General features: G+C 44.1%; 2 annotated features.

Annotated features, from left to right (window-relative positions):
* Window positions 9588-9817: an enhancer, noted in NCBI's record as "active region_16589". NCBI's record gives its function as "activates an Ori minimal core promoter by ATAC-STARR-seq in GM12878 lymphoblastoid cells {active_cell/tissue: GM12878}" and the evidence as "EXISTENCE:reporter gene assay evidence [ECO:0000049][PMID:35858748]".
* Window positions 9888-9967: an enhancer, noted in NCBI's record as "active region_16588". NCBI's record gives its function as "activates an Ori minimal core promoter by ATAC-STARR-seq in GM12878 lymphoblastoid cells {active_cell/tissue: GM12878}" and the evidence as "EXISTENCE:reporter gene assay evidence [ECO:0000049][PMID:35858748]".

Here is an 11935-nt window from a genome sequence, read left to right as displayed (position 1 = left end):
GGACAGCTCCAGTCATGGGCTCAGAGATCACAACCCTTTTTCACACAGAGACTTGTGCTAACAGCCACTGCAACATCTGTGTATTGGTCAGTAGCAAAGGCATCCCTCCTGGGGTGAGAAGACAACAGGTTATTTGAATTATCTCCTTTCTAGTCTTCCTCTTTCCATTTATACTTCCTGAAGGCTCACAGAACCACAAAGAGGAGACCCCACTAATGGTTTGGGGGTACCACAATTGCTGCTGTTTCCACAGTATACCACAGATTCAACTTCAAAGAAAGAATACCCCTTGCTGGTTAATGTTAGCTAAGTGGAGGAAGCAAAGGAGGAAGAGAGACAGTTGTATAAGACAGAGAGCCCTCATGCTAGTTTAGTTACTCGTTTGTCACAGTGATTTACACTGGGGCTATTCTTGCTTCATTTTCACTCCAATAATGAGCCATTTATGAAAGACTACATGGTACTTGCCTGTTTTATTGCTACAGAGCCCAGCAAGATCCTCAGAATGTTTTCTCAGCAAGCAGAAGATATCCCTCTACATCTTGGGACATGAAAACAGTTCTTGTAGATGTTCCTGAGATTTATAGGTTTGGCTCAGAGGCAGAGACTCTGGCAATGAGCTGTAGTGGGTCTGCCTCACCAGCAGAGAGTGCCCTGTTGTCACTTTTCTCTCCTATTCTCAGGGCTAGGTTGGATGTCGCTCTAGAGCTTGGGCAGAACCAAGAGTCAAGGACGGTACACAAATGGGTTTTTTGTTTTTGGTTTTTAAAGAATGCCTCCTAGCATGATGTCAGACTTGCACCATACATAATTATTTTGCTTTGGGCAATGTCCTTTGACCCAAACTATTGTCAATCCTAACCAAAGAGTAATTTTCTGAATGTTGTGCTTTCATTATTATGACAGCTGCTCATGTTTGCAAACCACTTATTTCAAAACAACACATCATTCAGATCTCCATGATTACAGATGCAGGGACAAGGAGAGAGAAGTGACTCTCTCACTAGCCCATCAGGGCTCCTAGTTCTGACAAGATGGTCATAGCTATGGGCTTCCCATTCCAAAGGCCCACTCCCACCAGCATTCCCTCCGCTCATCTAATTCCAGTCTTCCCAATCATCTTCTTCCAATGGGAGGATAATGGTGACAAATACTCCAGGTCACAGAGCTTTCACCTATGTTAATGGAATGAAGAGGTTGGGTCATTCCTGTGGCCAAAATCTTAATTTAAAGCTGGGGTGGCTGTAGCTCAGATGGTCTATAGCCATGCCTCTGAATTTTATCTGTGTGTAAGACTTACTGGTTCATCAGAACAGATGCTGTCCAAACCTCTTGTCGCAGCCACCACTTTCTTCTTTCACCTCTCTCCAAAGTCTCCCATATCACACTGCCATCCATTTGGTTAGTAGTTTTCATGCACAATCCTTTCCATTTTTCATCACACTTTCACTGCATGATCTCATTAGAATCTCATAATGCAAACTCAAGGTAAGTAGAGAAGGTGTTAATGAGCTTTTCCACTTACCCCAGGCAATAGTTACTCTGTTCTGTGTTCCCATATGTTGCATATTCCTTTATTATAGACATTTTTGCTATAGTGTAGTTATTCCTTTACCAAGTTCTACCACTGTGTGTTTCCTTAAGGCAAGAGTACAGATCTATCTTAACAGGCTTATTGCAGCACCCACCCCCGCCCCCCGCCAAAGCTTTGCAAAGTCCTTGAGATATAGTAAGTATTGAATAAATGTTTGTTGATTTGAATTACTATACCCATTTGACAGATAAGATAATCAAGTCATACAGAGGAGCTAAATAATACAGATGCTACAGCTACTGCTTGAAATGAGTAATGGAAGAACAGGGGATAGTACATGTATGGGCCAACTCGAGGAATAAACAATCAAAGAGAAAACATCTATTGCATTCTGACTCTGGAACAAATGCCCTGAAGAGATATAAAGATAAAATAACAAGACATGATCATAGTCTGAGACTCTCGTCCAGTGACTGGTGGGCCCCTTTAACTACTCTGTATCTCAGTTTTAACTCATTCAAGTGAGCAGGCTGAAGGATAAGATCTATTATGGCTCATTTGCATAGGCTCCTCAGTATTCTGGTTGAGGAAATGCTACGTATCATCTATTTGCACAGATGGACTATAGACATGCCAGCATACGTATGGCCATGGGATTAACAAAACATGCCACATGGGCAAATAGAATCAGGTTGAAAGAGCAGTCCAGACCACCCTGAAAAAAAAAAAAAAAGGCCTAAAGGAAGAGAGAACTTGGAGAACTGAAGAGTGAAGCAGGCTTTATAAGAAGTGAGGCCAGGGCTGTGGCTAAAGTTGAAATTTATACAGGCAAGAATGACTGACGGGGTGGAAATGAATGGAGGGGGTACACAAAGTGTGTGTATTTAGAGGACAGTAATATCAGGAAGCAGGGCAACTACTTTTCCAGTGGTCTATGCCTGGATGTGAAGGGAGGTGTTTGAGGAAAAAAGAAAGCCTGTCTCCACTTCAGTCCAGTGTTATTTCATCTCTCATCTGAACTCCATTCCTGTTTCATTTATCTTGCTGGTCTCCCAATCTAAATTAGGTTTTGCCCCATTGTACAGTCTCACAGCATTCTGAACTTTAACGTCACAGCAAAAATCTTAATTATACATGCAAGTAAGCTGTTCTTTCTCTATTGCCTCTGTCTCCTGCAGGACTGAAAGGTCTTTGAGAGCAAGACCTGCAACTGTTTTATTCACTGCTGAATCCCTTGCACCTAGCATATAGTAGGTGTGCAGTAAATGTCCAGTGAACTACTACATGAAAATCAGGAATATATGAAAAACATGTCTGTCTGATGGCAGGGCCGCCTTCCAGGGCACAGTTGCTCTGGCTGCCTGGGCAGCTTAACTCAAAGTCAAGTGAGGTCGTCAGTGACAGGTGCAACCACCACCCAGGCCGAAACTTTGGAGTTTGAGTGTCACGGAGAGTGAGAATGTCCTATTTCTGTTTGAGAAACACCACCACCAAGTTTCGTCAGCAGACCCTGCCTTTGACGCTGCACCACATCCCCTCCCCATTTCCTCTCAGTCAAAACGGAAGATGCTTTTCTTTCCAAACAAACTTCTCTTGAGCTTCAGGGCCCTCCCAGACCTCCCTAAACCCACCAATCCCAGCACCCTGCCTCCTACTCAGTCCTGCAATGAGTGACTTTGTCTGTACTCATTCAGATCCATACACACCCTGTGGTCGGCTGTGTTTGTTTCTGTTTTTAAAGGGCTGAAGCAACTGAGTCTCAGAAAGAGCAGGTGACTTCTTGAAGGTCACACAGCTAAAAGCCCCGTCAAGGGCATCCAGAGCATAAAGCTTTGTCATGACGCTAGTTGCTATTTAAGTGCTTGCTAGACTCTGCTAAGTGCTTCCTCACATGACCCCTGCCGATCCTCACACCAGCCCTGTGAGATGAGTATATTATGAAGCCCAGTTTATCAGAAGGCCTAAGTCACGAATTAGTTGGATAACCAGCTCAGGGTCACTCTGCTTGAAGTCACAGATCTGATTCTAACTCGGGACCGAAGCTGACCACATAGCCTCAACTCTCCCCTACATACTCATCACATGGCTGCTGGATGATTTTTCTCTGCTTCAGATTCTCACTTATTCCACTGGACGCTCCTTGAGCAATGGAGTCACATGGTGGGACAGGTGGCCCCTGGTCACTGAAAGGCATTCCACCCAGAGGGACCCAACTTCAGGAAGTAACAACCTCTAGCACCCCCACACCTGCCTCCCTACTTTTCTCCACGCCCCTTCTTTCTTGCTCTCCCATCCACTGCAGGCCCCCACCAGGCCTTTCCTCCCTGAACCCAAACTCTCCTCCTCCCAATTATCTTCACACCAAACTCAGCTGGTTTTCTAGGGGGATGCACCTGACAAGCACATTGACTGTGACTAGCACAGCACCTACCCCAAATATGGGGCATCCCTTTACAATTCAAGCACATCTTATTTCAGCCAAATCTACAGGGACCATTTCTGTCAATTCTGTAGTAAAAATTTTATAGCCCGGGGAGTTTCTCCACCAGGGGCACATGTACTTGCATTTTAACACAGAAAAACCTTAGGAGGGAGAAGAAGGCCCCAAACATGAAGGCTGTAAATATGGATGTTCACCTCTTAACCTCTCCTGGCCCCAGCCCTCTGAAGCTGGAGACTTAAGAATAGCTGCTATAGGGGGCCAGACATGATAGCTCAAACCTGTAATCCCAGCACTTTGGGAGGCCAAGGTGGGAGGGGATTACTTGATGTCGGGAGTTTGAGACCAGCCTGACCAACATGGAGAAACCCTGTCTCTACTAAAAATGCAAAAATTAGCTAGGCATGGTGGCGCATGCCTGTAATCCCAGCTATTCAGGAGGCTGAGGCAGGAGAATCGCTTGAACCTGAGAAGCAGAGGTTGTGGTGAGCCAAGATCATGCCATTGCACTCCAATCTGGGCAACAAGAACGAAACTCCATCTCAAAAAAGAAAGAAAGAAAGAAAAGCTGCTATATATCAAGCATCTACTCTGTGCCTTGCCGGCCATTTTTACTTGACCCCTAAAACCACTCCATGCAGTAGGTTGCATTGTCCCAGATTTACAGGTTTTAAAAAATGAGATCCAGGCTGGGCACAGTGGCTCACGCCTGTAATCCCAGCACTTTGGGGGGCCGAGGCAGGTGGATCACTTGAGGCCAGGAGTTCGAGACCAGCCTGGGAAACATGGCAAAACCTCATTTTTACCAAAAAAATATGAAAATTAGCCAGGCGTGGTGGTGTGCATCTTTGTCCCAGCAACTTGGGAGGCTGAGGTGGGAGGATTACTGGAGCCCGGAAAGTCAAGGCTGCAGTGAGCTGTGATCGCACCACTCACTCTAGCCTGGGTGACAAAGCGAGACCCTGTCTCAAAAAACTAAATACATAATAAAAACGAGAGCCAGAGAATAAATAACTTCCTGACTCCAAAGCTTTGCGTATTTGCCACTACAATTGGCTGCCTCCCTGATTCTCTTGGTGAGACTTAAGATTTTGCAAAGCAAAACCCAGCTCTTACCTTCCCACCCGATGCAGGCTAGAGGTTCGATCAGGGAGCCATTTATATTCAGCAGATAGTAGAGCCTGCGTACGATGTACAAGCAAACATTTGTATTCTAATCTGTGATTAGAGTTCTACTTCCAGCTCTGGAGTTCTTACTATATAATTGTGCCCACAAATCCAGTTTGATTTGCTGTTCTGCTTATTTATTCTTTGCATTGGAATTGTTTAGAGTCATTGGACTAACCAAAATTTTTAAATGGCAAATTAAACAAGAGGTGAATGTGCTAGCGTTGGAGCCATATTGATCCAATAGAACACGAAACAGGTCTTTTAATGTATGGATGAAATCTCCAAAGCTATTGACAATTTTCTGCCATGCTTTTTAATCATCACATGCTTGCTCTGGCTTTTGAATTGCCTAACCTTTGGGTGGTAAAATCACAGCATGTTATTTTAATCTCTTTATAATGGACTAGAGTTCACTTCAAATAAACATGTCTCCCTGTGCCCTTGGTAGGAGGCAGGCAGGGTTGAGAGGCAGGGAGTGTTGAGAAGCAGGCTCGTAGCCACATGGATTCCCCAAAAAGCCTGAACTGCACTCTCCATCTGAAAACCACATGGGCTTCTGGGCCTGCTGCTCTTATCTCTAACACTGGGTTCCCAAAACACAGTCCCTGGAGCAGCAGCAGCAGCATCACCTGAGAAACTGTTAGAAACGCAAATTCCCAGTCCCTTACTCAGACCAACCCCCATGTCATGCCATACAGTGGCTTACCAATAGTATTCACACAATAAATATGTATGGCTTACTGAGTTCCTAACACAGGAAAAGGGAACAGAACAGCAATGAGTATAATGGAGCACAGAATGGACCTTGGATGTCTTCGCTTCACATTTGCCTGGGGTTGGCTTCTATTCCCCAAGACAGGGGTTCTCTAACTTGAATGTGCATCCGAATCATCTTAAAACACATATTTCTGGGCTTCACCTCCAGAGTTTCTGACTCAGCAGGTCTAGCTGGGAGCCAAGAATGTGCATTTTAACAAGTTTCCAGGTGATGCTGATGCTGCTGGCACACCTCACTTAGAAAGCCACTGCCCCAGAGGCAGGAGTCACCTGTCTCCAATTTCTGCCTCTTTTTCTGGCCTTGGATACTATACATATTTTTAAGGCCTTCCCTCTCCAAACTTCTCAAAACTTGGCTCAAAAGATTATCTAAAGGCTGGTCCAAAAATTACTAAAACCAGAAGAAGAATGGATGTATTCTCTTTAAAGAAACAGACAGGACTCTGTCTTAATAAGAGAGCAGTTACTTATTCAAGAGCTAGGAAAGGAGGGATGGCACTGTTGTTAGGGATTCATGGTCAATTTTTTTCTTCCATGCAGGTAGAGAACATGGGTTCTTGATGTCTGGTTTCTTTTTGTAAGGTTGCTCCAAGGTCCCTGGTAGGCTTTAGGGTTTGCCCAGCCACAAGATGGCAGTACTCAGCCAGCATTCACATGAAATGCAATACTGGCCCCCAGACTCCTCTTGCTCTTCAGATGATACCCAGAGCAGTGAACTGATGCATTTGATGCAACCAAAATAGGCTCATTTTCCTCCTGGGAAACCTGGCATTGAAGAAATTCTCCATCTAGTAAACTCAGACCCGGGAACAATGACCCTAAACAAGATTACATGCATGCCATTTAGTGTCTAAAGACAGAGCCGTTTCCCACACTCAAATGAGGAAACAAGAGGCTAACTGGTCATATGGTACCAACAAGACAATGAGGCAGAATAATAAATCTGTGGGCCTCCCCAAATATCTGTGAATATGTGGCCATCTCAGTTACAAGGCAACTAATGGTGACCTAAAAATAGATATCCATTGAAAGATGCATTAAAAATGTTATATCCTAAGCAAAGTGGAAAGTTGCCTCAAAATATATTCTCTGATGGTTAGTCAAAACACGTTGTATTATAAATAAATAGCAAGCATCATTTTCCCATGTCAAACGTGGCGACTCATGGTTTGTGAGCTACAATAGTACTTACTAGCAATAAGCATCTGTGAAATGAAGGGGCTCCCAACACATCCAGAATGTATGGTGGCACAATGAGAATTCAGAAAATGCCATTCTCCCCTCTCTGCTCAATCTCCCACCGCTGTCATCTTTACTACAGGCTTGATCTGAATTTAAATACATAAGATTTGGGCTCCACCCACATACTTTCCACCCAAGTATCTCAGAAACTGATACTCATGATTCCCGCAATTCCAATGAAACTGTGGTTTTGTGCTGAGATTATCTGAATAATTGCTTCCATTTTTCTTGGCCTTATAGACAGAACCCCTAAATTTTGTAAGACCCTTTTCTTCATCTACTGTTCACTAGACCAGTTGTTTCCACGCTCAGCTGATCAACAGAATCACCCACGGTCTTATTTTGGTTTTTAAAGTACAGATGCCATATCACCTTCCACCTACTGATTTTAAAATTTTGGAAAGGAGGTGGCAGAGCTAGAAAGTGGTGTTGGTTTCTAGCATATGTGTAGGAATAGTAACCCAACTGAGGGGGTTCCAATGAGGTTTAGAAACAGCTGCACTAGGCAACACTGCTTTTCAGACCTCAGAGCACTTTCTCACCATATTCAGAATGTCCCATGGGAGCAGTAGGAGGGAAATCTTAAAACTCTCCAGGCTCTTCTTTACAGAGAAGGGATAGCAAGAGACGTGCCCACAGTCCGAGAGACTCATACAGGCAGATTCAAACTTAAGTCCTCTATTACTAGTTCATCCTGTTCTAGCCTTTAGAATTTTCTCACTTTCAGCAGGGCCCAGTGGCTCTCATGCCTGTAATCCCAATGTTTTGGGAGGCTCAGCCAGGAAGATGGCTTGAGGCCAAGAGTTCAAGACCAGCACCCGCTTAGGCAACATAGCAAGACCCTGCCATTTAAAAAAAAAATTTTGCCAGATGTAGTAGTGCACACCTGTAGTCCTAGCTACTCAGAAGGCTGAGGCAGGAGGATTGCTTGAGCCCAGGAGGTTGATGCTGTAGCGAGCTATGATCACGCCACTGCACTCCAGCCTGATAGCAGAGCAAAGATCTCATCTCTAAAACAATAATAAAAAGCATTTTCTCATTTTCTGTGGGCCTTGTAAATCACATTTACCAGACATAGGATTGCATGGCAGACAAAGGCCAATATTCCTGTCTGTCGCTGTGCACTACTCCAGTCAGATAGATCCTCACCAAGGCCTTGTAATCCATCCCAGAGTCCTGGCAAAGCAGCCGGGAAAGGAAATGAGTGAAAACAAAGACATATGAGCAAAGGGTCAAGTTGCCAGAACTCTTTGAACGGAAGAATCAAAGACTCAGGGAGGAGTTAATCACGTCTCGGAGGGCACTGGGGGCTGTTGGGGCAGCAAGGCCCTGAGGCAGCTGGTGGGGACCAGCACTCACGCCCACACAGAACATCTGTTCACACCCATGGAAGTGCAGCGAGCTTTTGTTTTTATTAACTGAAAGAGGAGGAAGGCATTTGGTTGGGGTGGAGTTGGTAAAAGTGAGTAAATTGCAAGGTTTGTATTGGCACCTCCCCACAACCAGACCTGGGGTTTGAGTCTCTGTGTGGAAGGGTGGTTGTCAGACTTCGGAGATGTGGCTTTCATGAGAAGCTTTTACAAATGTTTTAGGGAAGCAGAGCTGCTCCTAGATCCAGGTGGCACAAAGGTGAGCAGGAAACCTGAATTAGTCAGGGTTCAGGGAAGAGGAACCACTGTGAGTGATATAAAATAAGAGATTTATTATATTGGGGGAGGTGAGAGACCCTTCTGTGCAGCCTGGTCCCTCTGTGTCTAGTGTTGACCTTGAAGTTGCTGTAGGTCAGCTGGATTGGCAGTCACAAAGCAAAGCTGGTTGTCGACAAGAGCAAGGACAAACTGAAGCCCACAAGGATGAAGTGGGACCTGCATCTATCACCTCCAGCCTCAATGCGATGCCCTGGCTGAGCTGCAGGATGCCAGCCCCTTCACCACAAAGCTGCACACACACCTGGCCAAGGACTCAAAGAAGCAGGAGATTGGTGAGAGTCACCCCAGCGAGACAGCTGATCAGTGACAAACATGGGCAGGCTGCCATGGCACCTACACTGATCAGCAGTGAAAAAACACTATTGCTGCTTTACTCCCGCATTACAGATCTCACGCAAAATATCTCTCGTGAGCAATGCTATCCTGGACCTATAGAGAAAAGGGAATTCTCCAAAGGGTAATTCTCACTTAGCTAGCCTAACACAATGCAGATCTGTGACAAGATTGTCTCCATGTTCTGGTACCTGAAACTGGAAGCTTTGGGCCCACCCAGCATTTCATGCATCTTGGCATGAACTCTGGAGTACTCCCAGCGGGCACTTTGAACAGGAAAATCATTGCAGCTCTGTCAATCAGCTTCCTGAGTAGTAGATAGCAAAAAGTATGAGCTGAGAAGGAAGAACAGAACATGGCAGACTGTTTCCAGAACATATGAGGCCCCATTCAGGGATTTTGCCAAATAACTAGGGCATACTTTGGGCAGGAGGGCACTTAGAGAGTGGTACCATTGTAATTTGTACATAAATGGAGTTCTGATCTCATTTTGTATGCAGGGCTGGGCATGCCTGGACAAGTTGGTGACACAAGTAAGTGACATATAATGAGAATTTCATAAACCCAGAGATGGAAAGAGATCTGAGACAGTCATTTCCTGCCTCTCCCCTCTTCTCTCTTCTCCTTTCCTCTTCTCTTCTCTCCTGCTCATAAGCATCCTATGTTTCCATCATACCAAGCCACTGGCAGGTCTCTGAACACACCACACTCTGACATGCTTGGACCTTGGCATTTGTTATAGCCCCAACATGGAGAGGCCTCCACCCCTCCTGCCCTTCCTCACTCCTTTTTCCTTGAATAACCTGCGTTCAAATTTCAAATCTCAGATCCGTCCTCCCCTCTCCCTGACCCCTGGTTAGTTTGAGTCAAGAGATACTCGCAGGTACTGTCTACTGATGGCAGTCTGAACATGCCTTTTCTAATGTGCTATCACCCTATTTTTAAGTAGCCTTCTTGAAGTATCATTGGACTGCAGTAAACTGCATATACTTTAACTGAACAATTTGTAAGTTTTCACATAGGTATACACCCATGAAACCATCACTACAATCAAGATAGTAAACAATCCATCCCCTCTGAAAGTTTCTGTATGACTCTTTGTAATGCTTCCCCTCACCTCCCTCAACGACATCCCCATACGACATCTCATCTGCTTTCCCTCATTCTAGATTAGGTTGCAATTTCTAGATTTGTATTTAATGAAATCATGTAGCATGTACTCTTTTTTTTGGTCTGTCTTCTTTCATATTCAGCATAATTATTTTGACATTCATCCATCTGTCTGTGTGTCAATAGTTCATTTCTTTTTTACTGTCGAGTGGGGTATTCTGGTATATGGATGGACCCCATTTGGTTTATTCATTCACCTGTTGGTAGACATTTGGGCTGTTTCCAGTTTGCAGCTATTACATATAAAGCATCTATGAATATTCATGTACAAGTCTCTTTGTGGTTATATATTTCCTTTCCTCTTGGGCACATATCTAGGAGTGAAGTGGGTGGATATATGATAGGAGTGTGCTTAATTTTTTAAGAAACTGCCAAACTATTTTACCAAGTGATTGTTCCATTTTACATTGCCACCAACAATGCATGAGGGCTGCAGTCCACATCCTAGCCAACCCTTGATATGATCGATCTTTTTAATTTTAGCCACTCAAATAGATCGGTGGTGATATTTTATTGTGGTTTTAAGTTGCATTTTCCTAATGATGAATGTTGAACATCTTTTCAATGTGCTTATTAGCCATCTATATATCTTCTTTGCTGAAATGACTCTTCAAATCTTTTGCCTATTTTTTAATTGGGTATTTGTTTTTTGAGTGTTCTTTATAGATTTTTGACACAAGTCCTTTATGAGATATGTAGCTTACAAATATTTTCTCCCAGTCCGTGGGTTGTCTTTTTATTCTTTTGGCAGTGTATTTTAAAGAATAAAAGTTTTTAATTGTGATGAAGTTCAATTCCTCAACATTCTCTTTTACAGATTGTTATCATTCTTAATTCTCTAGTGGCTTCTACACACCTCGTCTGTGAGCCCCTCCAGGGTAAAGACCACAAGATTCCTCCATCTCTGTATTCCCAACACCATGGCTTAGCACTTAGAAGACACTGAAATTATAGTTCTTCTGGCTGCATTATTGCTCCTGGCTACCATGGGAAGGCCACAAAGAAATCTCCACATGGGGCCTGAACCTCCTGGCATTGCTGTGTAATAATTGTTCCTTTATATGGGAATAGAGGGTTTTAATCAATGTCACCATTTTTCTTAAGCAAGGAACACCTACTAAGGCCTCTGCATATTTCCCCATAATATATCTCTGTATTTGCACAGAGGGAGAATGAATAACATAGAAAAATCCTCCCCTGGAGGCACTCCATTTGGAAATTCTGCTTGTTTTTTCTTTTGATCAGGGAGAGCCCATTGTTTCTGGAATAAGCAAAGAAAAATCTTATAACAGGGTCTCCCCATAAGCAGAAATCAAAGAGGACTTCTCCAGGAAACAAATCCAAGTAAATTTCACCATGGGCCTGCTATTTTTTGCCCCAGGAAAGGGGTTTTAAGAAGGTGATAGGCCGGGCGCAGTGGCTCATGCCTGTAATCCCAGCACTTTGGGAGGCCGAGGTGGGTGAATCACCTGAAGTCAGGAGTTCAAGACCAGCCTGGCCAACATGGTGAAGCTGCATCTCTACTAAAATTACAAAAATAGCCAGGCATGGTGGCAGGCG

The sequence above is a fragment of the Homo sapiens genome, chromosome 2, assembly GCF_000001405.40.
Source record: "Homo sapiens chromosome 2, GRCh38.p14 Primary Assembly".
In the NCBI taxonomy this organism is placed as follows: Eukaryota; Metazoa; Chordata; class Mammalia; order Primates; family Hominidae; genus Homo; species Homo sapiens.
This window is presented reverse-complemented; position numbering and strand designations above follow the sequence as displayed.